The 23,477-nt window shown below is 54.3% G+C and overlaps 1 long non-coding RNA gene across 2 annotated transcripts, besides 2 other annotated features; it reads right to left on the bottom strand.

Moving 5' to 3' along the window:
* LOC124905077 (uncharacterized) lies at positions 226 to 21,642 on the bottom strand. Of its 2 annotated transcripts, none has more exons than XR_007068001.1 (3): positions 21,572 to 21,642; positions 18,516 to 18,599; positions 226 to 436 (listed from the first exon to the last, which is right to left on the bottom strand). It is a non-coding gene; the product is annotated as an uncharacterized LOC124905077 (long non-coding RNA). The 2 variants fall into 2 exon arrangements; XR_007068000.1 differs by lacking the exon at positions 226 to 436 and adding an exon at positions 2,238 to 2,324.
* Positions 6,169 to 6,734: an enhancer, noted in NCBI's record as "H3K4me1 hESC enhancer chr22:20416022-20416587 (GRCh37/hg19 assembly coordinates)". NCBI's record gives its function as "activates a minimal SCP1, AML or CMV promoter by ChIP-STARR-seq in naive H9 embryonic stem cells {active_cell/tissue: H9 hESC(naive)}" and the evidence as "EXISTENCE:reporter gene assay evidence [ECO:0000049][PMID:30033119]".
* Positions 18,752 to 19,309: an enhancer, noted in NCBI's record as "H3K27ac-H3K4me1 hESC enhancer chr22:20403447-20404004 (GRCh37/hg19 assembly coordinates)". NCBI's record gives its function as "activates a minimal SCP1, AML or CMV promoter by ChIP-STARR-seq in naive H9 embryonic stem cells {active_cell/tissue: H9 hESC(naive)}" and the evidence as "EXISTENCE:reporter gene assay evidence [ECO:0000049][PMID:30033119]".
* Positions 21,643 to 23,477: the final 1,835 nt, after the last annotated feature.

The raw sequence follows: 23,477 nt of genomic DNA, 5'->3' as shown, positions 1-23,477 counted from the left end.
TGATAATAGAATCCACAGGCGGAGGGATGAGTAGCCCGCGCTTTTACCTGCGGTTCTCACTAACTGCTTTACTCCGAGGGCCTGGTGGGGTCAGCGGTTACCCAGTGAATGAGTTGGCAGAGTCAGTCATGCCTGTTCCTGGGTAGTTACTGGGCACAGAGGGTGAACAGCAGGAGGAACCTAGCCCATGTGCACTGTTGGCTTCTCCTGGGAGGTCCTCTGGAGAGCTGCCTATAGCCCTCAGCTGTAGGCGGGTCCTACTGACCCCGTAGCACGGGCTTTTGGAGTCTGCCTGGCCTGGTTTCCTGGCTGCATTCTTGGGCTCTCGTTGGCCTGTATGTAGTCTGGCGGGACCTCACATAGTGCAGTTTGGGTTGAGCGGAGGTGGCCAGTAATGGGGGCCCCTGGGACTCCTGGGACCTCTGTCTTCTTCTCCCTGGAAGAGAAGAGATTTGTCCCTGAGGTTGGTTTCTTGGGCTGTGTTATCTGGACAAGGTATATGAGGCCACTAATAGGGGCAGAGAAGGACGAGTGGGAGGGGACTGAAGGGGGACGGGAGACAGAGAGCTTCAGGTAGGGCCTGGCTGGGCCTGGCCCCCTTTGCTGGAACAGAACAATAGGTTGTTCTGGGGTTTTGTTTGTATTTGAGGGAGAGAGGCTATAAGACGGCTCCTGCCAGCTAGGAGCAGCCTATCATGTGAGGGGACGGGTAGGCCCCTGGGTGTGGTTTTGGTCAGCATCCTGGGTAGGAAATCTTGCCTCTTAGAGGTGGGACAGCAACCTGGCCAGGGGCAGTAGAGGAGATGGGAAAAGGGGCTCAGAAGGAAGGGGGTGGTGCACATCTTGGTAGCTGGGTCCAGGTGGTCCTGTCCTGAGTGAGTGATCTGGGGGTGGATTCCTGCCCTAGGTCTTGTGCCCCTTCACCCCAGCCCTGTCCGGGACCCCATGGCCCTTCCCCTTTATGGAAGCAGCTGCTATTATAGTTTCTGTCTGGCTTGTACCAGGGTACTTGGCTTAGAAGATGGGAAGAGGATGGTCCCCACGGAGTTCTGACAGAAGGCTAGGAAGGTAGTGGTGAAGAGGGTAAGCACTCATCCTGGGCTCGTTCCTGGGCTCAGCCTGGCAGTGGGCATTCTATGCCCGGTTCAGTTGTCAGAACACACCGGTGTGGTCCTCATCATCTTGTCAGTCCTCGTTGTACAAGTGGCTCAGAGAAGTCAGAGTCGTACATCTAAGAAGTGAGTGGCGAAGCTCCAGGTGAAGTGTGTGAAAGCCTCGGACACATTTGTGAGTGAGGACTCCTTACTCTGCGCAGTGCTTGGGCTGGAGGGCAGCTGAGGTGTTCATTTTGAGTGGGGTAGTGGGTTGGCTGCTCTGGACAAAGCCAGGGAATCTGGCTCCCAGAGTGGGAAGGTGGTCCCCTGCAGGTCCCCCATTCCTCCCCAAGGACCAGGGGCCAGAGAGCATTCTCTGGGTCGTCCTCATCCTTCCAGTCACACGCAGCTCCTTACTGTCTGGTATGTGGGAATCTTCTGCCCCACGGCAGCCTGTGCCTTTGCCGAACACCTCCAGGAGAGCCATGTGGGGGATGGTCTGGACATTGCAGGGACCAGAGCTGAGCTCTTGAGATTCTCTGAGTGTGGACAAACGAGGTGCTCAGACACGGCCCTTGGTGGTGTGGGGACACAGGCAGGATAGCTCCTCTCGGTGACTCTTGGTAGATTGTCTTCTGGTAGATGGGCTGGGGGTGCGGGTTCTGGTGCTTCAAGGTGGTTGTCCTCTGACTGTGAACCAGAGCCCAGGGACCAGGCGTCAGCCCCGTGCTGGCCGAAGGGAGAGGGTTGTTGCCAAAGTCCCACATTCCAGGCATGTGTTGATGCTGATAAGGCAGCCTAGGGCTGGCCTAGCCACTTTGGGCAGGAGGGGACTTTGACTTCATGCCCCCAGCAGGCAGCATGCACATCTTGCTTCCTGGTAGCACCCCTCCCCCACCGACCCCCTCTGCTTCCAGGTGCAGGGCCCCCGCCGGGTCCTGGTCACACAGCCTGCAGAGGCAGTGCCGCTTTCAGCAGCGTTGCTGGCTCTTAGTAGCAGGCCTCTGGAGGCCTGTTGATGGATTCTGCCAGCCCCGCCTCTTAGAGTATTCGAGGATGCCATTGGAAATGGCACTTCCTTTTATTTGCTGAAATTTGTTACTCTTAGGTTTGGCAGTGGGCTCCTTGTCCAAGAGTTCAGCTTTTGGGGAAGTGTAGTTTTGTGGAAAGATGACTCCTGCTTCCTCCGTGGGCCAGTCTCTTAAGCTCTCCAGGCCTCATTCTCCTTGCCTGTAAACGAGTTGTTAGAAATATTTGAGGCAGTGCTTGTCAGCTATTCTCAAAGTTGTTTGCAGACCCTGAGGGTCCCCGATACCTTTTTCAGTATATTTAGAAGTTACAAGGTCAGATGCGGTGGCCCACGCCTGTAATCCCAGCACTTTAGGAGGCCAAGGCGGGTGGATCACCTGAGGTTGGGAGTTCCAGATCAGCCTGGCCAACATGGTGAAACCCCGCCTCTCCTAAAAATACAAAAATTAGCTGGGTGTGGTGGCGCACGCCTGTAGTCCCAGCTACTCAGGAGGCTGAGGCAGGAGAATGGCTTGAACCTGGGAGGCGGAGGTTGCAGTGAGCCAAGATTTTGCCACTGCACTCCAGCCTGGGTGACAGAGCGAGACTCCATCTAAAAAAAAAAAAAAAAAAAAAAATCACTGGCCTCTGCCCTGGGTGGACACTTGCACTGCCAGAGTTGTGTTCCCCACTGTTAGCCAGCACTGGGGGCTGAGACCCACCAGTTCTACACATGTCCAGGGGAGGCAGTACAGATGACTGAGTATTAAATCTAGACCTTTAATTACACATATTTTTACTTTTCTGTGTGATGAAATAGGAAGGATGCATGAGGCTTTTTTTTTTGAGATGGAGTCTCGCTGTTGCCTAGGCTGGAGTGCAGTGGCGCAATCTCAGTTCACTGCAACCTCCACCTCCTGGGTTCAAGTCATTCTCGTGCCTCAGCCTCCCGAGTAGCTGGGATTACAGGCACCCGCCACCACGCCTGGTTAATTTTTTTCTTTTTTTTTTTTTTTTTTGAGACGGAGTCTTGCCCTGTCGCCCAGGCTGGAGTGCAGTGGTGCGATCTCGCTGACTGCAACCTCCGCCTCCTGGGTTCAAGCGATTCTCCTACCCCAGCCTCCCGAGTAGCTGGGATTACAGGCGCCTGCCACCACGCCTGGTTAATTTTTTCTTTTTTTTTTTTTTTGAGACGGAGTCTTTCCCTGTCGCCCAGGCTGGAGTGCAGTGGTGCGATCTCGCTCACTGCAACCTCCGCCTCCTGGGTTCAAGCGATTCTCCTGCCTCAGCCTCCCGAGTAGCTGGGATTACAGGCATGCGCCTCCATGCCCAGCTAATTTTTGCATTTTTAGTAGAGATGGGGTTTCACCATGTTGGTCAGGCTGGTCTCGAACTTCTGACCTCGTGATCCGCCCGCCTCAGCCTCCCGAAGTGCTGGGATTACAGGCATTAGCCACTGCGCCTGGTGTAATTTTTTCTAGTTTTAATAAAGTCTGGGTTTCGCCATGTTGGCCAGGCTGGTCTTGAACTCCTGACCTCAGGTGATCCACCCGCCCTGGCCTCCCGAAGTGCTGGGATTACAGGTATTAGCCACCATGCCCGGCATGAGGCTTTACAATTTTTTTTTTATTTTTAATTTTTTTTGACGATGTGGTCTCCCTCAGTTGCCTAGGCTGGAGTGCAGTGATGATGTAATCACGGCTCAGTGCAGCCTCACCTTCTGGGCTCAAATGATCCTCCTTCATAAGCCTCCCGAGTAGTTAGGACCACAGTCATGTGCCACCACACCCAGCTGTTTTTTTTTTTTTTTTCCAGAGATGGGATCTTCCTGGTCTTGAACTCCTAGGCTCAGGCAGTCCTCCTACCACGACCTCCTAAAGTGTTGGGATTACAGGTGTTGAGCCACTGTGCCCAGCCTACATAGCAACTTTTTTTTTTTTTTTGAGATGGAGTCTCTGTTGCCCAGGCTGGAGTACAGTGGCACGATCTTGGGTCACTGCAACCTCTGCTTCCCGGGTTCAAGCAATTCTATTGCCTCAGCCTCCCAAGTAGCTGAGATTATAGGCACGTGCCACCACACCCGGCTAATTTTTGTATTTTTAGTAGAGACTGGGTATCTCCATGTTGGTCAGGCTGGTCTCAAACTCCTGACCTTGTGATCGCCCACCTCAGCCTCCCAAAGTGCTGGGATTACAGATGTGAGCCACCGTACCTGGCCTACATAGCAACTTTTATTTATGTTTTTCCTTGAAGCGGAGTCTTGCTCTGTTGCTAGTCTGGAGTGCAGTTGCGCAATTCTCCTGCTTCAGCCTCCTGAGTAGCTGGGATTACAGGCGCTTGCCACCACACCTGGCTAATTTTTGTATTTTTAGTAGAGACGGGATTTCACCACGTTAGCGAGACTGGTCTTGAACTCCTGACCTCAAGTGATCCACCTGCCTCAGCCTCCCGAAGTGCTGGGATTGCAGGCGTGAGCCACCGCGCCTGGCCCATAGCAACTTTTAAGAAACTCATTTGTCGAGCTTTAGTGTAATATCAATGAAGAATAGACAGTTTTCTGAAAAAGTTATTAAAATACTCCTTCCTTCTTTCTGTGTAAGGCCAAATTTCTTTAAAGACTTTAATCAAAACCGCATATCCTAACAGACTGAATGCAGGAGATATGAGAATCCAGCTTCTTCTATTAGGCTAGACATTAAAGAGATTTATAAAAGTGTAAAGCAATGCTATCCTTCTTTTTTTCTTTTCTTTTCTTTTTTTTTTTTTTGAGACAGTCTCGCTCTGTCGCCAGGCTAGAGTGCAGTGGCGCGATCTCTGCTCACTGCAACCCCCACCTCCCGGGTTCAAGTGATTTGCCTGCCTCGGCCTTCTAGCTAGCTGGGACTACAGGTGCGCGCCACCACACCTAGCTAATTTTTGTATGTATATATATATTTTTTAGTAGAGATGGGGTTTCACCTGTTGGCCAGGATGGTGTGGATCTCTTGACCTCGTGATCCGCCCGCCTCGGCCTCCCAGAGTGCTGGGATTGCAAGTGTGAACTACCGTGCCCAGCCCTTTTTTTGTTTTGTTTTTCGGATAGAGTCTCACTCTTATCACCCAGGCTGGAGTGCAGTGGCACAATCTCTCCTTACTGCAACCTCCGTCTCCTGGGTTCAAGGGATTCTGCTGCCTCAGCCTCCTGAGTAGCTGGGATTACAGGCACCTGTCACCACGCCCAGCTAATTTTTGTATTTTTTTAAATGTTGTTGTTTTTTTTTTTTGAGAGGGAGTTTTGCTCTTGTCCAGGCTGGAGTGCAATGGCGTGATCTTGGCTCACTGCAACCTCTGCTTCCCCCAGGTTCAAGTGATTCTCCTGCCTCAGCCTCCCCAGTAGCTGGGATTACAGGCATGCACCAACACATTTGGCTAATTTTTGTATTTCACCCTGTTGGGCAGGCTGGTCTCAAACTCCTGACCTCAGGTGATCCACCCGCGTCGGCCTCCCAAAGTGCTAGGATTACAGGCATGAGCCACTGCGTCCAGCCTATTTTTTTTTTTAAGACAGAGTTTCGCTCTTGTTGCCCAGGCTGGAATGCAATGGCACAATCTTGGCTCACTGCAACCTCCACCCCACACCCTCCCCTGGGGTAAAGCCATTCTCCTGCTTCAGCCTCCCAAGTAGTTGGGATTACAGGCACCTGCCACCACGCTTGGCTAATTTTTTGTATTTTTAGTAGAGATGGGGTTTCACCATGTTGGCCAGGCTGGTCTCGAACTCCAGACCTCAAGTGATCCACCTACCTCAGCCTCCCAAAGTGCTGGGACTACAGGCGTGAGCCACTGTGCTCAGCCTTTAAAAAAAATTTTTTTGGCCGGGCACGGTGGCTCACGCCTGTAATCTCAGCACTTTGGGAGGCTGAGGCGGCAGATCACGAGGTCAGGAGATCGAGACCATCCTGGCTAACACGGTGAAACCCCGTCTCTACTAAAAATACAAAAAGAAATTAGCCAGGCGCGGTGGCGGGCGCTTGTAGTCCCAGATACTCGGGAGGCCGAGGCAGGAGAATGGCGTGAACCCGGGAGGCGGAGCTTGCAGTGAGCCGAGATCACGCCACTGCACTCCAGCCTGGGCCACAGAGCGAGACTCCGTCTCAGGAAAAAAAAAAAAAAAAACTGAATAAGAGGGCACTGTTGTAGTACATGGTAACATCAAATACAGCAACAGCCCAGATGCAGTGGCTCACACCTGTAATCCCAGCACTTTGGGAGGCTGAGGCTGCAGGATGGCTTGAAGCCAGGAGTTCGAGGTTGCAGTGAGCTATGATTGTACCACCGCACTTCAGCTTGGGTGACAGAGCAGGACCCTGTCTCAGAAAAAACCCCACAAAACAGTAATAGAGAAGCCACATAAGCAGATGCTCGTTAGGAGCCCTGACTATTTCAGAATGTAAACAACACAATTTTAGAACCAGTGGCAAGGAGGGTACTGGACATTTCCATCTTCCCCACGTGCCTCCTTATCTTTCACATGTTGTTTCACTCTGTCTCTTCTCAGCATTGGGTCTGACCAGCATTTGCTCACCTAATGAATGTTTATGAGTGCCTGCTGCATGCCTGCTGCTGTGGCTGCTTGGGACACAGGGTCTAACTTTGGGTACTGGTCTATGGGGTGGTGGGGGTAGGCAGGAGGGAAGCAGCTTGGCAGCTGGTGCTGACGTTGGAAGCGGGGGGACAACAGAGGCAGTTCTGGCTTCACAGAGGAGGGAGTCGTGAGGGGGCAGGCTCCTCCCAGAGTAGGGCACGGCCTGCAGGAGCTCTCAGGTGTGTCTGTGGAAGGGATGAGGTGGGCTTGATGCCCCTGTGGGAAGTGCTTTGCATGCCAGGCCTGAGCATGGACTTTATGCTAGGCATCAGGAATTTATTGAAAGCTTTATTTATTTTTTTAATTTTTTTTTTTTGTATTTTGAGATAGAGTTTCACTCTTGTTGCCCAGGCTGGAGTGCAATGGCGCGATCTTGGCTCACTGCAACTTCCTCCTCCCGGGTTCAAGTGATTCTCCTGCCTCAGCCTCCTGAGTAGCTGGGATTACAGGCATGCGCCACCATGCCCAGCTAATTTTGTATTTTTAATAGAGATGGGGTTTCTCCATGTTGGTCAGGCTGGTCTCAAACTCCAGACATCAGATGATCTGCCCGCCTGGGCCTCCCAAAGTGCTGGGATTAAAGGTGTGAGCCACCATGCCCGGCCCATTGAAAGCTTTAAGCAGGGGAGTGGCTTGATGAGATGGGTGTTGAGAAAGATAACTCAGGGTTATTGGACTCTGAATTGGAGGGTACAGGGACTAGGCGAGGGTTGGCTGGAGGGGTTGCAGGGGGGTGATTGTGTTCTAAACGCTGATATTTTCACTTAGAGTGGCTCTGATTCTGCCCTTCTTTCTCCTGTAGACCTTGGGAGGTTGCCTGGGATTTCTCCCTCCTGGACAACTTCTGTTGAGTGAAGCATACCTGCTACCCCAGGTGTGGAGGCCCCAGGTTCTTTTGCTTTGTATGATTAGGACAGGGTGATATTTTCTGGGTTATCTCTTGTGGGAACTGAGCCCTCCAAAGCCCTCATTTGTGCATTGTTGTCATAGCTGCCCAAGTGTGTGGCCTTGCTGAGTTTGACGGCTGTGGACCAGGTGATCTCTCGGGTGGTGAAAGGGAGGTGCTCTGTGAGTGCACCTCAGCTTTAGCCTCTTGGCTTCTCCCTGGATTGGGATTTCCAGGGAGGTCTCTTTCCTCTTTCTTTTTTCTCTTTCTTTTCTCTCTCTCTCTCTGTTTTTTGTTTGTTTGTTTGTTTGTTTGTTTTATAAATGAGACAGGGTCTTGCCTTGTTGCCCAGGCTGGTCTTGAACTCCTGGGCTCAAGCGATCCTCCTGCCTCAATCTCCCAAAGTGCTCAGATTAAAGGCATGAACCACCACACCCGACTTTCCTTTCTTTTGAGACTTCTGCACAGAGCAGGCTCAGCTTCCTTAGTATACTTAGCCATTGAACTCTAAGAAGTTATTTACAAAGGTGTAAATAGGCCGGGCGTGGTGGCTCACCCCTGTAATCCCAGCACTTTGGGAGGCCGAGGCAGGCGGATCACTTGAGGTCAGGAGTTTGAGACCAGCCTGGCCAAGATGGTGAAACCCTGTCTCTACCACAAAAATCAGCTGGGTGTGGTGATGGGTGCCTGTAATCCCCAGCTACTCGGGAGGCTGAGGCAGGACAATCGCTTGAACCCGGGCAGCAGAGGTCGCAGTGAGCCGAGATTGTGCCACTGCACTCCAGCCTGGGCGACAGAGGAATACTCAAAAAAAAAAAAAAACAAAGGTAAATTACACGTATATATGTGTGTGCACAAATCTTAAAGAATAGATAAGTAGTGGTAAACCCACTATTGGTTGAATCGTGGGTGTCCCACTAAGCGTGACACCGTTGTTCCCTCATGGCCACATAAGAAATAGCCTCCCAAGTTCCTGGGACACCCCATGCACTTCTCCCTGGCTTATTCCCACTTCCCTCTAGAAGCCAACAGTCTTCTGAATTGCGGGTCAGCCATTCGCTGGCTTTTGTCGGTTTCCCACCTTTGTCTGGATCCTGAAACTGCGAATGATTTTGGCTCAGTTCGCTGGGAGCCGGGTGTCCTGCACTCTTGGGACACCAGGAGCAGCAGTTCCTGCGTTCCCATTCTCCATTTCAGTGTCCAAGGTGGCGCCATCCACACATAATCACCTGTCCTGCTGGCAGTGAGCATTTGGGTGGGTTTCTGGGTTTTGTTTTTGCTGCTTTCTAAGTAGCTGACTTTTCACCCCCAAGCTATGCTTCTTGAGGCAGAGAAGTGCCAGTTTATTTTGTTTTCTGTCTCTAAATCCAGTTCCTTAATGCACCACTGAGACTCAGTTTAGAAGTACAGTGAAACTTTGTGAGCATTTTTCTCCCTGAGTTTGAATGGATCCCTCTCTCATTCTTTGAGTTCTTGGGCACTTGTCTCTTAGACACTTTCAAGTTACCTACTGGACAGGAGAGACCTCTTCTCTATAAAGTATCACACTTGGAGGCTTTTCAGGCACAGGACCATAGATTGTAATATTTTCCATAGCAGTTGCCCAATTTTATCTGTAAAAATTGCTTTTTAAGGCCTGGCACAGTGGCTCACACCTGTAATCCCAACATTTTGGAAGGCTGAGGCAGGAGGATCACTTGAGCCCAGGAGTTTGAGGCCAGTCTGGAAAACATAGTGAGACCTCATCTCTACAAAAAATTTTAAAAATTGGTTGGGCATCGTGGCATGCACCTTTAGTTCCAGCTACTCAAAAGGCTGAGACGGGAGGATCCCTTGAGCCCATAAATTAGAGCTATGATCGCGCCACTGCACTCCAGCCTGGGCCACAGAGCAAGACCCTGTCTCCAAACAATCACAAAACTTCCAATGGATGCCGAATGTATAACTTTTTCTTTTTTTTTTCTTTCTTGGAGTAAAATAACTTGATCCTTGATCTTTGGCTGTAGCTCCTGAGCCATTTGAGGCACTGGGGGGTTTGTGTGTTGATTACCTATGAAGGAGCAAGTGGGCTGTTTCCTTCTCCCAGCGGCTTCCTTTGACCCCAAATCCCTGAGAGTCTCGCCCATTTTCTTCTTGGCTTCCTCCCTTTGATATGCCCAGCTGGCTCCTGCCCTACCTGGCTGCCACCAGGACCTGCTGGAGGCGGTTGCTGGGAATTATTTGGTGTCCTGTTTGAACCTTGCTTGCCGTGCTCCCAGATTTCCTGTTTCTCCTGGGCTTGCCTTTCAGGATTTGCAGAACCCCTTCTCCTTTAGAAGTGTCAACTGGGGCTGGGTGTGGTGGCTCACGCCTATAATCCCAGCACTTTTGGGAGGCCGAGGCGGGCGGATCACCTGAGGTCGGGAGTTCCAGGCCAGCCTGACCAACATGGAGAAACCCCGTCTCTACTAAAAATACAAAATTAGCCAGGTATGGTGGTGCACACTTGGAATCCCAGCTACTCGGGAGGCTGAGGCAGGACAGTCGCTTGAACCCGGGAGGCGGAGGTTGCGGTGAGCCGAGATTGCACCATGGCACTCTAGCCTGGGCAACAAGAGGAAAACTCTGTCTCAAAAAAAAAAAAAAAAAAAGTCAATTGGACCTTAGGACAACTTAAAAACATTATCAGGTTTTTATCTTTTAGATAGCAGACATGAGTCTGCTCTTAATAAGGATTTACAGTAGTCTCTCTGTTTCCTGTGGGCTCCTGGCTGGCTTGTGTGAGCTCCCTCCTCTAGGATGGGCACTCCATCCTGGACATTGCCGCGTTGCCAGCTGTCCTGCCAATATTTTGCTTCCTGTGTTGTTGTTATTGGTTGGGGGTCCAGGAGAGGTTGCTGCCTGGACTGAGTCTACTTGCTGATCAGGATGAAGTTGATCTCTGCTTCCCTTCTGAAGGTTTCTGTGCACGTATTGAATTCAAGGACAGCCTACGTAAGAAGTGTGCACAGCTCCAAGAGTTCTTCACAAATGATTATGCCCTTGTAACTAGCATCCAGAGTGCGAAACACAACCCTGGAAGCCCCTCACGTATCCTGAAGCTTGTAGTCACTCTCAACCCCCACCCATAAGATTAGTGCTGCCTGCTTTTGAATGTATGCAAATGGAACTGTAATAGTCTTTTTGGCTCTGGCATCTTTGCTCAAAAGTATATTTGAGAGATTCATCTGCGTTGTTTGTAAGTCAAACCATGTGAAATTATCAGCAGCCAGCTGTTTTTTTACCCCTAAAAGGTAAATTCATACAGTTCAACCTAAACGTTCTGTCCTGTTCACTGCTGGCTCATAGTCTTTTATACCTGCAGCTGTCCCTTCTCAGGGTGGGCATAGTTGTTTTCCATTGTTGGGCCTTCATGAGTGTGCCTGCCTGTTTGGTGTGCATACGTGTGCATTCTTGTTGGCGTATACCTTGGGTGAGTTTTTGGGCCCACAGCTAGCTAGCTAGCTAGCTTGTTTGCTTTATTTATTTAGAGACGAAGTTGGCTCTTGTCGCCCAGGCTGGAGTGCAGTGGCGCAGTCTCAGCTCACTGCAAGCTCTGCCTCCTGGGTTCAAGTGATTCTCCTGCGTCAGCCTCCCAAATAGCTGGGATTACAGGAGCCTGCCACCACGCCCAACTAATTTTTGTATTTTTAGTAGAGACGGGGTTTCACCATGTTTGCCAGGCTGGTCTCAAACTCCTGACCTCAGGCGATCCACCCACCTTGGCCTCACAAAGTGCTGAGATCACAGGCGTGAGCCACCACCCACGGCCTTGGGCCCACAGTTTTAGATTGTGCCATCCAAGGGTTTTCTAAACCATGTGAGTTTTCTGGCCAGGTGCGGTGGCTTATGCCTGTAATCTCAGTACTTTGGGAGGCTGAGATGGGCAGATCACTTGAGGCCAGGAGTTGGAGACCAGCCTGGCCAACATGGTGAAACCCCATCTCTACGAAAAATACAAAAATTATCTGCGGGTGGTGGCGCACTGCACTTCTGTAATCCCAGCTACTCGGGAGGCTGAGGCAGGAGAATTGCTTGAACCTGGGAGGCGAAGGTTGCAGTGAGCCATCTCGCCACTGCACTCCAGCTTGGGTGACAGAGCAAGACTCTCTCTCAAAAAAATAAAAAATTATAAAGTATGTGAGACTTCTGGTTGCCTTACTGCCTGGCCAACATTTGGTGTTACCTTTTTCCTGATGGGCTTTGACGTTCTTATTGTTTCTGGAACAGTCCTGGTCTTGTTTAAAAACATCCCCATTTTCCTTTCATCCCTGGGAGATACTCTTTTAGTCTTTGTTTGGCTAGTCAAAATCCCGTCTTTAGTATCTGTTGTTGAATTTTTGTGTTTTTGTTTTTTCTGATTCCCTTTCAGCATGTCATCTCAGTCTTGTCCCAGCCCGGGGGTCAGGCGGTGTTGCGTACAGACGGTGCAGTGGCTCCTTCATGCTGGTTGCCTCAGAGCCTTTGCCAGGCCTGGAGAACTGCATAGGTGCAGGACTGCCAGTAGTTCTTCCTGCTCTTTGATCATTGAAATGTTTTCTTTTGTGAAGTAATGATGGTAGAAGATGATAGGGTTTCTGTTTGTTTCTAATTCTAGTCTTTACTTGGCATTAAGAAATTGTTAGCTGCTAGGGTTGATTTTGAAATTGTGAAGTTGGAGAGTCCCTCCTGGAGCTGTGGGTTGGATGGCTGCAGCTCTGTGACTCAGCTGTGCTGGGTGCCTCCCTTTGGGGCTCAGTTACCTCCTTTTAAGGTGTCCCTAGGGTGAGAGAGATGATCACGATAGTCCCTTCCACCTGGGCGGCCCAGGCTTTCCTCGCCCATTTAGTGCCTTTCATGTAGAATTTCCACCTGTTGTCTGCTGTGCTGCCACTGCTTGTCCTCCCTCCCTGCCACACAGAGCTGTGTTCTCTGCCTGCCACTCACGCCTACTTCTCTGATCAGGGTTTGTGGAACCCTCCAGCGTGGTCACCATTCTGGTACCTGTGGTAACACGCTCAGCCTTGGTGTGGCACATTCTAGGTCTACCGTTTGTATTCACCAGCCTGTGAGCTTGTGTACATGGGACATGTATCTTCGTTTTGGGGGCTTTCTCCTTCCACTTGATGCCCATCCCTTGAGCGTTTACTACTTGTGGAGCGCTTGGCTTTCAGGCCGTAGAGAGCTTTCCAATCAGTGGTGTCCAGGTAAAAACAAAAGAAGGAAAAAAAGCTTCTAACCTAGCCCTTCTCAGACTTGACTGTGTGTTTGAGCCCCCAGGGTTCTGGTGGTTAGGGCTGGATGGAGTCTGAGCCTCTGCGTGTCTAACAAGATCCCTGGTGGTGCTGCTGCTGTTTCTTGGGTCATGGCCAGTGAGCAAGAAGAGCAGGGAAGTGGGCTGGAGAGGACTGCAGAAACCAGCACAGGGCCTGTTTTGCCTCCTGACATGTGTGGATGCCAGATTCCTGCTTTTTCCTCACCTACTAGGAACAGCAGCTGCACATCCTCTGGTGGTCTTGCGTGGGCTCCTGCTCTGTGGCTGTCAGCGAGCCTTTTACCCCATGCTCAGGCCCCTCTTAGGGGGCAGGGTAGTGTTGGGATGGAGTTTGGAGGTGAGCACAGCATTCGTAGTCACTATCACAACCTTAAATTGTTATTCTGCTTCTTTTTTTTGAGACAGAGTCTCACTCTGTCACCCAGGCTGGAGTGCAGTGGCGCGATCTCGGCTCACTGCAAGCTCCGCCTCCCAGGGTCAAGCAATTCTGCCTCAGCCTCCGGAGTAGCGGAACTACAGGCGCGTGCCACCACACCCAGCTAATTTTTTGTATTTTTAGTAGAGATGGGGTTTCACAGTGTTAGCCAGGATGGTCTTGATCTCCTGACCTCATGATCCACCCATGTCAGCCTCCCGGAGTGCTGGGATTACAGACCGCACCTGGCCGTTATTCTGCTTGTTAAAGCAATGTTCCCCTGCCTGTCTCCAATATCCTGTCTCAGAACTGTCAGCCAGACTGTGCCAGGCCTGGGGCCCTCCTTGGTGCCAGCACTAGCAGGGGAAATCAGCTGCAGGTCTCCAAGGTCTTCCTGGCCTCATTCCTTGCTGGCTCCAAACCCGGAAGTGATGAGGAGAGGGAGGGGACTGAGGCTGTACCTTCTGGGGGAAGCACAGTTTGGAGGCACTTTCGGTCCAGCTCTCCTCTCAGCAGCCCATTCCAGCCTTTTCCTTGTGCTGGGGTGTTAGCCCGGGCTTCCTCACCTCAGAAGGGACAGTACCCATGGGCGGGTGGCTCGGACCATGCAGGGCTTGGCCCTGCTGTGGGCAGTACGAGGTCATCAGTAGGTCCCATGGGCATTTCAGGATGGGCTTGGGAAAGTCACTGGGCTGGGGTGGATGCTACCTCCCTCACTTTAGGCCACAGGGCTGGCCTGAGGAGCAGAGGAGGAGGAGGCCAGCCTCAGGTCCCAATCGCTGCATCACCAATGTGTTGAGTGGAACCCGAGTGTTTATTTTGTAGAAGCTGCGTTGGAGAGAGCTGGGCTCCTGGCATTTGTGGAGCCTGTTGCTTTCCAGGAGGATGGTCTGGGAGGAGAGCCAGGAGCTGCTGGCCGGCATCCAGGTCTGGGCTGGATTACATGGCTGGGCTTGCCCAGAGCAGTGAGCCCCACCCACCACCAGCCCATTCCTGAAGGGACAGGGAAGGAGGTCATGGAGGGTGGGGGTGTTCCCAGAGGAGCAGCAAGCACAACCTGGGCCTCCAAAGCAGGCTGCATGGGGGCTCCACCTTGTCACTTCTGGTGGAGGAGCTGGGCAGACCCCATGCCCTCACAGTGAGTTTGGGAGAATACACCCAGGTGGGGCCCTGCTGTGGATAGGCAGGTGGTGCTGGGGGGTGGGGGAGTGAGGGTGGAGGTGCAGACTGGAGTCCCTGCTCCTGGCACACCAGTGCATGGAGGGCGGTGCCTCCTCTAGCTCCCCCAAGCAGCTTGGCAGTTGGAAGCCATGTGTGAGTGGCATCCCTGGCCCTGCCTGCGTTGGGCGGGGGGGTCATCAGACTACAACACTGGAGTCAGGCTTTAGGTCCTCACTCTGCTACCTACATGCTCTTGTGACCCTGGGCAAGTTGCTTAACCCCCAAGAACCTTTAATTTCTTATCTGAAACTGCAGAGATAACGCCCCGCTCACTGGGCCTGTGGGAAGATTGAGGAGATCAGACCTGCCCACATGTAGGCTGCCATCTCATACAGGGCTGTGGCGGTGGGCGAGGTGCAGCCTTCGCCCCTTGGAGCTATCTCTTGTCTACCAAGGCTTCCTCAGGGAGGACTCCAGGCCATGGGGATAGGATGAACAAAGTCCTGGGCTTGTGACTGTGCAGGGCTGGTTGGTGTGTCCAGGGGCTGGGCCTTGGGGCACTTCTGGATACTGGCTGCCTCCTGCCTGGCTGCCTTGTGCCTTCCAGGCAGTCTCTCCCATGGCTTAGGGGCTCCTGGGAAGAGGCTGAGCTCACACAGGGCCACCCGTTGCAGCTGCATCTGTCCCGGCCACACCTGAAGTATGAGGTGACTATAGTTGGGGGTTGGTCTGGAACCAGGGCCGATGCTGACCTTAGACTGAAGTTTGGGAGCAGTGGCAGCAAGTCTGGGGCTCTCTCTGACCCTGGTCAGATGTACTTAGACCTCTGGGTTGTGGAAGTTGCCTGGTGGCCCTGCCCTGCCTAGCATGGCTTCTCAGCCTGGCATGCTTGTCCCTCCCACCTGACAGTGGAGCTCGGGCGGGCCGTGGGCGGCCCTGCTCACTCTCAGCTGTCTTGGCGTTAGCTGGAGGGTTCTCATTTCACTGTTACTTTTGTTTAGGCTGGGAGGTGGTTAAGGTGCTGCTCCTTGGGAGTGGGCTGGGGGGAGCTTCTCCTCAGTCCTCCAGCATAGCTCCAGGCCTCCTGCAGGAAGCCCCTTTCTTGGTAGTAAAGGATAGCTTCCAGGGAGGAAGGTGGATGAGAAGGATCCTAGGAGGGCTAGGCGGGATGGCCTGCTTGGGGTGGCGCCCTTTCCTGGTCTTCACCCTTCTCCCCAGGCCTCCCTCCTGGCTGGGCGTGAGCCAGAAGTTTCAGTCTGAAGGCAGGGTTATCATGTGGCTGAGATGAGTTTGACCCTGAGTTTGACCCCCGCCTGTGGGCCTGGATATGGGCGTGAGATGTGTTCCTGTCTCCCAGAGTCATGGCCTCCAGAAGGAGCCATGTGGAGGCCCAGCACCTGGAGCAGTTCTGAATGCCTGGCTTCTTGGAGGCCAAGGTTCTAGGCAAGGTGGGTATCCAGGCTGGGTTGGGGCAGTGCCTCTCAGAATTGGGGCTGGAGTTTTCTGCTTTCTGCCTCAGCAGGGATCACTTTGATCTGAAAACCTCCTCTCTCCTGGCCTTTGAAAGATGCTGACTAGAGCACACTCTCCTGCCCTTTGCTGGGTGCTTAGAAGAAAGGCCTTGAGGTAACCCTGTTCCAGCCTCCCCACAGGCCCCTGCAGCCATGTGGACTGACCAGAGGCTCCACACACGGGCAGGTGTGGCCTGACCTCGCTCGCGTAGGATCATGGGCTAGTGGGTCCCCCAATGGGGGGCTGCTTCGAGTGTCAGGAGGCAGCGAGGGGTGCACAGTGCCCTGGCCTCTGCCATCCCCGTTGGTTATTTGGCTGGTCTGTGTTTGGTGAGCGAGTAGAGGGATCCAGAGTGCAGGGTGGTCTTGGCCTGGGGCTTTTGACTGCCCTCTGGAGATGCACTGAGGGCCACCCAGCTGGAGAGCAGCCGGGAGGGATAGGAACCTGTTCCCACCGTGGCGTCTTTGCCCTTCCAATCTGCTTCACCGTCGCCCTTGATCTCTGTGCCAGTTGGAAAATTGAGGCAGAACCAATACCCCTGGGTGATCTGGAAATCATCAGTGGGAAAGGTTGCCTTTGCCCAAGGCTAAAGATGACATGTCCCTGCACACTTTCAGCCCCAGGTTTTCCTACCTTGTGGGGAGGTGAGAGGTCAGGGTGAGTGCTGGGTTTGAGGCTCAGCTGTGCTGTGTGAAGATTGAGAGGAGCCCACCTGATCACATGGACAGAACGCACAGGCTCCTGGGTGGCCCTGCGGCTCCAGTGACATAGCACATGGTCGGGCATACAACAGTGCCCAGGAAAGGTTAGCTGGTGGTGTTTCCAGGGTATCGTGCTGAGCTTCTGAGATGAGAATGTCCTGTGAAAGCCTCTGTCTGGAGGTTTCATTGGAAGTAAAGTTTACATACAATTAAGGGCCTAAAATTGTATTTTCATTTACCTTAACCCAGATTCCCAGCAAGCTAGAGAGCTGCCCTCACCCCAAAGAGTTCCTCATGCCCCGTCCTGGATAGGCCTGTCAGGGCCAGGCAGTGGGCGCTTGTCCCTCGCCCCATCCTGGACAGTCCTCACCTGTCGCTCACAGCCTGTTCTGCTCTGGTTTTTACCCTCAGTCCGTTTTGCCTATTCTAGAACTTGATGTAAATGGAGTCATGCAGTCTGTACTCTCGCAAAAGTCTTCTTCCACTCAGTGCCACGACTGTGAGGTTCATCCATGTCTCTGCATCATTTCTGCCCTTTGTATTTTTAGGGTTTTAAAAGTAATACTTTTGGCTGGGCACGGTGGCTCACACCTGTAATCCCAGCACTTTGGGAGGCTGAGGCAGGCGGATCACAAGGTCAGGAGGTCGAGACCATCCTGGCTAACACGGTGAAACCCCGTCTCTACTAAAAATACAAAAAATTAGCCGGGCGTGGTGGCAGGCGGCTGTAGTCCCAGCTACTCGGGAGACTGAGGCAGGAGAATGGCATGAACCTGGGAGGCAGAGTTTGCAGTGAGCCCAGATCGCCATGGCACTCCAGCCTGGGGGACAGAATGAGATTCCATCAAAAAAAAAAAAAAAGGTAATACTTTTTAAAATGTTGAGTATTACAGAAATGAACATAATATACAGATACTATGGTTTTTCTGTAATCCCGCTCCCCAGAGATAATCTTACTTAGCAGTTGGGTATGTGTGTCCCCAAGGTTTTTCTTGCCACAGAATGGACTTGCTGGGCCGGGTAGGCTCTGACTGGGCCTTGCAGAGCAGCTGCCTTACTGTAAGTTCTTTGAGGGCGAACAGAGCGGGGGTGGGGCTGCTGTGGCTGGCCCAGTTCTACAGAGCTTGGGCATGTGCCACCAGTGGCTTGAGAGGCTGGAGTATCTGAGTGCTGTTCCAGCCCGCTAGCACCTGCCTGGGCCCTGGGCCTGCCCTCAGTGTCTGGGGACATGGCTTTCTGGCTTTTTTGTGGCGGGGACTGGGAGGGGAAGGAAAGGAGAGCAGTTGGCATGTTGGCTGTTCCGTAAACAGGGCCGTGTGTCTGCTCTAACAGATGGCCTGGGAAGGTAACCCCGAGGCTTTGTGTTCCTTCCTGCAGACCTTCAGGATTCCGCAGAGAGAGCTGGCCCTCCCTCCAGCTGCTGGGGCTCTTGTCCTTCCCAGCTGGGGCCAGTCCACCTACAGGGGGAATCCTGGAGCTGAGGGATCCTAACTTGGGAGATAGTTTCTGTGCTACCCTTCTTGCCTCTCCCCTGGACCCCTGAAGGCTCTGTCCTAGGGAGGGGATGGGTCACAGCCTTAGGCGAATGCCCAGCTGGCCCCGATAGCCCAGGCCTGCTGCCCTACTGCCTCAGATCCTGGGCGTCCTGGGAGCCAGCGTTTCTGGATGGGCAGTAGGCCAGGGCTGGGCGTGCTAGCCTGGGGGCTGATAGGCGTGCTGCCCGGGCCTGCTGCCAGGGGCTGCTGGGTGCTAGGTGGCATTCTCATCGCAGCCTGCAGTCAGCTGCTTCCAGGGCTGAGCACCAGCATCCGGGCCAGCACCCAGAGCCGTGTTTCTAGTTACCTGGCACTCCCCAGGCGGAGCCCTCCAGGATAGGCACTTGCTGTTTCATGTCCAGCGGTGAGCGGGTAGGGCAGAGCTCTGTGGCTGAGAAGGAAGGAGCAGTGCTTAGTAGGCGTTTCGCAGCAGGATGGCGTGTGCCACCCCCTGCCCCGCCATGGGGTGAGGCTGCATTGCTGCTCGCAGACACAGTGGCGGCCTAGATGTGGCCCAGACTTGGCCCAGCTGGTGTGGATGGCACGCATGGTGGCATTGTGCTTGCTGTGAACTTTCTGCAGGTGGCTCTGACACCCCCTAACTCAAGTGGAGGGTTCAGGGAGGAGCCCTGCCCTGTTCTACATCACAGCTGACCCAGCCTGGGGCCATCCTTCCTTGGTGGGGAGACCTAGTGCTAGCCTTGGGCTTGTAAAGTGCCCGACAGGGCCAGGCAGTGGGCACTGACGGAGGGTGTTCCCACCCCCATGGCACTCAGGTGCCCCCCAGTCCTATTCTGCCACCCACTCCCTGCGCGGCATCCAGTAGCTGGCCTGGCCTCTGGCAAGGTCAGGTGACCCCTGGCTGCAGAGTTTGGCATGCGCTCTACCCATGGTTGACTGGGTCCTGAGGGGCAGTGGTTGGGGAGCAGATGAAGTGGCACAGGGCTGGATGGTGGTATCTGATTGCCTCCAGTGTGCCACCGAGACCCTCTACCCAGTTTTTCGACTGCTCCCGCCAGTGTTTCAGTGGCCCCTGCCCTACTGGCCTCATCCCAGCATTAGCCCACTGGGCCCAACCCTTGCTAACTGTGGACGCCCTTGGGCTTCCTACCAACAGAGCTGGTTCTGCTGCCCTCTGGGCCTTTGGTGGGGTCCTGGACCAGCCATGCACCCCCTCCCCTCACACCCCCCACCCAGAGGGGAGCTGCACTAGGGGCTGGAGAGACAGCTGGCCAGCTGCAGCCTAGGCCTCCCAGCTCTGGGCCGGCACCCCGGGTCTGGTCACATTCCTGAGGGACCTGCTGAGCCTCCCTGGCCCTGGGGGTGGAGTGGGGGAAGGGGAAACGGGGACGGGCCGCTGCACGCCCCTTCCCCGACCCCGGCTCTATTCCGTGGGGGCCCAGGCTGGCAGGTGTGGGGTGCAAGGACCCACCACCTCAGGATCCCCCCTCCTGCAGGACCCAGAGCTCTGGGGGTGGGAGGGAACCCCTCGTTTCCTGGCGGCAGCTGCCCAAGGCTTTGGTGGGCCGGTATTGAAAGCCCAGGCCTGCAGCTTGGGTGAGCCCTTAGGCAGTGAAACCTCTGGAGAGGGAAGGCCATGTGGTCAGGCCAGGCGGGCTAGGGGGCTGGGCCCTCTGGGCAGGGAGGCGGTGAGAGCAGATCAGGAAGGGAAGGAACGGGGGAGCCAAAAGCGGTTGAGACTGGTTCTTATAAATAGCCCTTGCACAAGTGGCTCCAATTTTGACCTTTTGTTATGTAAATGTGGCCAGCTTGGGAAGGGCCCTGCCCAGGCCTCCTGCTACCACACCCGCAGGCCAAGAATTGTGTGTCTGCCACCAGCGCCCCCTGGCCTAGGTGGCCCCTGGGTGTCCTTAATGTCCTGTGTTAGAGGGGCAGGTATTGCACCCACCGAACTCCCTAGACCTGTTCGCTGGTCCTTACTCTTCCTGGCTGTCAGATCCAACTACCAGGCTCTGTGGTCACAGTCTCCTGCTGGGCTGCCCCTGGTGCCCCAGCCAGAGACCCCCAGGTGCGTCCCTTCATCGCCCTTCCCTCCCTTCTTCGCTGATGGCTGTCTGGGTGACTGTGTTCGTCTTCTCTTCCCCAGGTGACCAGGCATTGATGCACCCCCAGGAAGGCCACGGGCTCAGGAGGCCCCCCCGCCCCGCTGGCTGCTGCTCACATGGTGTCTGGGCCCTTGGCACTCTGGTGAGGCGCAGGGGAGGGGGGACCGCCACTGGCCCCTTTCCCCGGAGTTTCTGGGTGGCACACAGCCCCACAGCTCGGCCTCTATCTGTCTGACCCGTGGTCCTTTGTGTGCACACAGCACTGGGCAGTGTGGAGGGAGCCTGGAGGCCACTGCCCTCTTCCAGTCCCCTTGCCAGTCTCGGGGTACCAGGTGTCTGGGTGCTGGCAGAGCCGGCACTGATGTTTTCTGGGGTCACCAGAAAGCCCTGGTTTCACCACAAATTGTGACTGTCAGGACACAGTGCTGCTATGGTCAGGATTCCTTTCCATATGCTGCTTCAGCCTCAGACCTCGGTGGGCCTTAAGAGTAGGGGCTGCTCAGCCAGGCGCAGTGGCTCACGCCTGTAATCCCAGCACTTTGGGAGGCAGAGGCGGGTGGGTCACCTGAGGTCGGGAGATCGAGACCAGCCTGACCAATATGGAGAAACCCTGTCTCTACTAAATATACAAAATTAGCCGGGTGTGGTGGCATGTGCCTGTAATCCCAGCTACTTAGGAGGCTGAGGCAGGAGAATCGCTTGAACCCAGGAGGCGGAGGTTGCGGTGAGCCAAGATCGCACCATTGCACTCCAGCCTGGGCAGCAAGAGCGAAACTCCGTCTCAAAAAAAAAAGAAAAAGAGTAGGGGCTGTAGCCGTTCCCATTTCACAGGGCACTGGGGGTGCTCCTGACCACGTGTCAGCCCTCACATTGTACCTGGGGCTCTGGAGCCCAGATCTGTCTCTCTCCTCTCCACTTCCTTAGTCCAGGTGCCCTTGAACCTCTGGCCTCTCTGTCTGGTCCTCAGATAGGAGTGGGTCCTCAGATAGGAGTGGGTTGGTTGACCCCTGGGGGCAGGGCAGTTGGAGTACAGATATCACTAGCAGGTCCCAGATGGTAGGAGGACAGATCAGCTCAGGGAAAGCTGCTCACAGCCTCCTTCAGAGTTCTGGGTCTTGAAAGCAGCTGTTTTGGGAGCCTAACTGCTTTTCCCAGGGACTTAAGGCCTTTGTAATTTTTGTAGCCCTTTCATCCTCCAGAATAAAGGGACCTTCTTGAGCTCAGGGCCTTCTCAGTACTGGCATGCCCCAGGGCTCCTCCTCCCTGCCTGGCTACTCTGGCCAGCTCCACTGCTTACCCAGCCCAGTCACTCCTAGTCCAGGTGGATCCCTTCAGTGGCTTGGCCCACGGCCTGCATGGTGAACTGATTAGCAGCCCCAACTAATGGGTCCGACCTCAGCTCCAGACACCGCTGCACTGGTCGCCCATCCGCCATCACTGTTGATGCCAGGGTGGTTCTTCCCTTCACTGTTGATGCCAGTGGGGCCCCTCCCTTTACTGTAGATGCCAGTGTGGCCCCTCCCTTTACTGTAGATGTGAGCGAGGTCCCTCCCGTCACTGTAGATGCCAGCTAGGTCCCTCCCTTTACTGTAGATGCCAGCGTGACCCTTCCCTTCACTATAGATGCCAGCGAGGTCCCTCCATTCACTGTAGATGCCAGCGAGGTCCCTCCCTTCACTGTAGATGCCAGCGAGGTCCTTCTCTCTGCTCAGACATCTTTGACTCCCTCTTATGCACATCCCACTGATGACTCTCAGCACATCCCATCACCTTCACCTTTGAGGTTTATCCAGGATCTGACAAGTCCCAGCATCCCAGCTGCTGCCCCCTGGCCTGGCCTCCTGCTCCCCAACCCCAGGCATCTTCCCCTTCTCCACATGCGGTTGGCGCAAGCCAGGGGGGAATCAGAGCCCCCCTACAGACTCGAAGGTGGGCTTGTTTCTGTGACCTGCAAGCCCCCTTCCCACCTGACTTCCATCCTCTCTCTTCCCCTCGCTTGCTGTGCTGTGGCCATGCTGGGGTCCTGCTTGCACTTCCCACGGATGATTCTCAGCACATCCCATCAGTTTCACTTTTGAAGCTGCCCTCCTGGGCTGCTCCCACCATAGGCCGCGTCATGCATTCCCTCTTCTCAGATGGCCGTGCCTTGCGCCTCACTCCTGCGTCTCCTCCAGGGCTCATCTCAGATGTCCCCTCCTTGCCAGGGCTCTCCCTGGCCACCTGGCCACACGCTCACTCGCACTGCTGTTTCTTAGTGTTTCTCAGTGTGTGTAGCTTATTTCTTGTTGTCTGTGGTCCCCACCATAGACTGTGTGGTCATGTTTGTCTTCATTCAGAGCACCATGCCCAGAGTCCACGAGGCCCTGGCACAGAGGCAGCCACCAGGATGTGGTTGTTTAACAAATAGATGGGAGTGTGTCTCTTCGATGGCTTCTTGTCCGTGGCAGTTCTGGGGTCCCCCCCACCGCCATTTTTTTGCTCCCTTGTCTGCTTCCATAAGACTAATCGGTCTGCAGGAAACACAAAGCAGGCTGTAGTGCCTCGTCCCCCAGGAGTCCTCACCCCATGGGCAGCTTAGAGGGAAGCAGCAGACAGAGCCCCGCCCCAGGCTCCTGTCGGCTCCTGGCCATCCTGGGCTTATGTGGCCTTTGTCTCCACCCTCACAGCCTCCAGATGGCTTCTGTGCCTCCCAGCAGGAAGGAAGACAAGGACAGAGTGCAAAGGGCAGAGGCCAGCTGCCTTGACCTTATGAAGCTCACCCTGGCATGTGTTCCCAGGGCCTTGCCCAGTTCACTCTCCCTGGCTCATTAGAGTGGCCGGGGAGAACAGTGGCCGCCTCAGCCAGCAGGGACCCTGGCTGAGAGCCCTGTGACTGGCCACGTGGCCACCCTGATCCACCTCATGAGGAAGAAGGGAGGGGATGGGTACTGGGGAGGGAGCCGCGGTGTGTGTTCTACTCACTAGGCCTCGTTGCCACCTCTGCACAGGCGCTTGGAGCCCTTGTAGAAGCTGGTGCTGCTGGGACAACAGAGGGATAGAATCCTCTTTGGCCAGATGCCAAATGCTGTTTGTTGGTCTCCTTGTAAAAACACCCAGAAATCATGGGGGCTTTCCATGTGTGAGCTGCACCTCTTACTCTCTGCAGCACCCAGGTGTCTCCCGGGCACCATGCTGCTCCCTCTGGGCACCCCTCATGCCCCCCC

Source organism: Homo sapiens, chromosome 22 (genome assembly GCF_000001405.40).
Source record: "Homo sapiens chromosome 22, GRCh38.p14 Primary Assembly".
Classification (NCBI taxonomy): Eukaryota; Metazoa; Chordata; class Mammalia; order Primates; family Hominidae; genus Homo; species Homo sapiens.
Note: the sequence above shows the minus strand (reverse complement) of the source record. Positions and strands in the feature narration are given on the sequence as shown.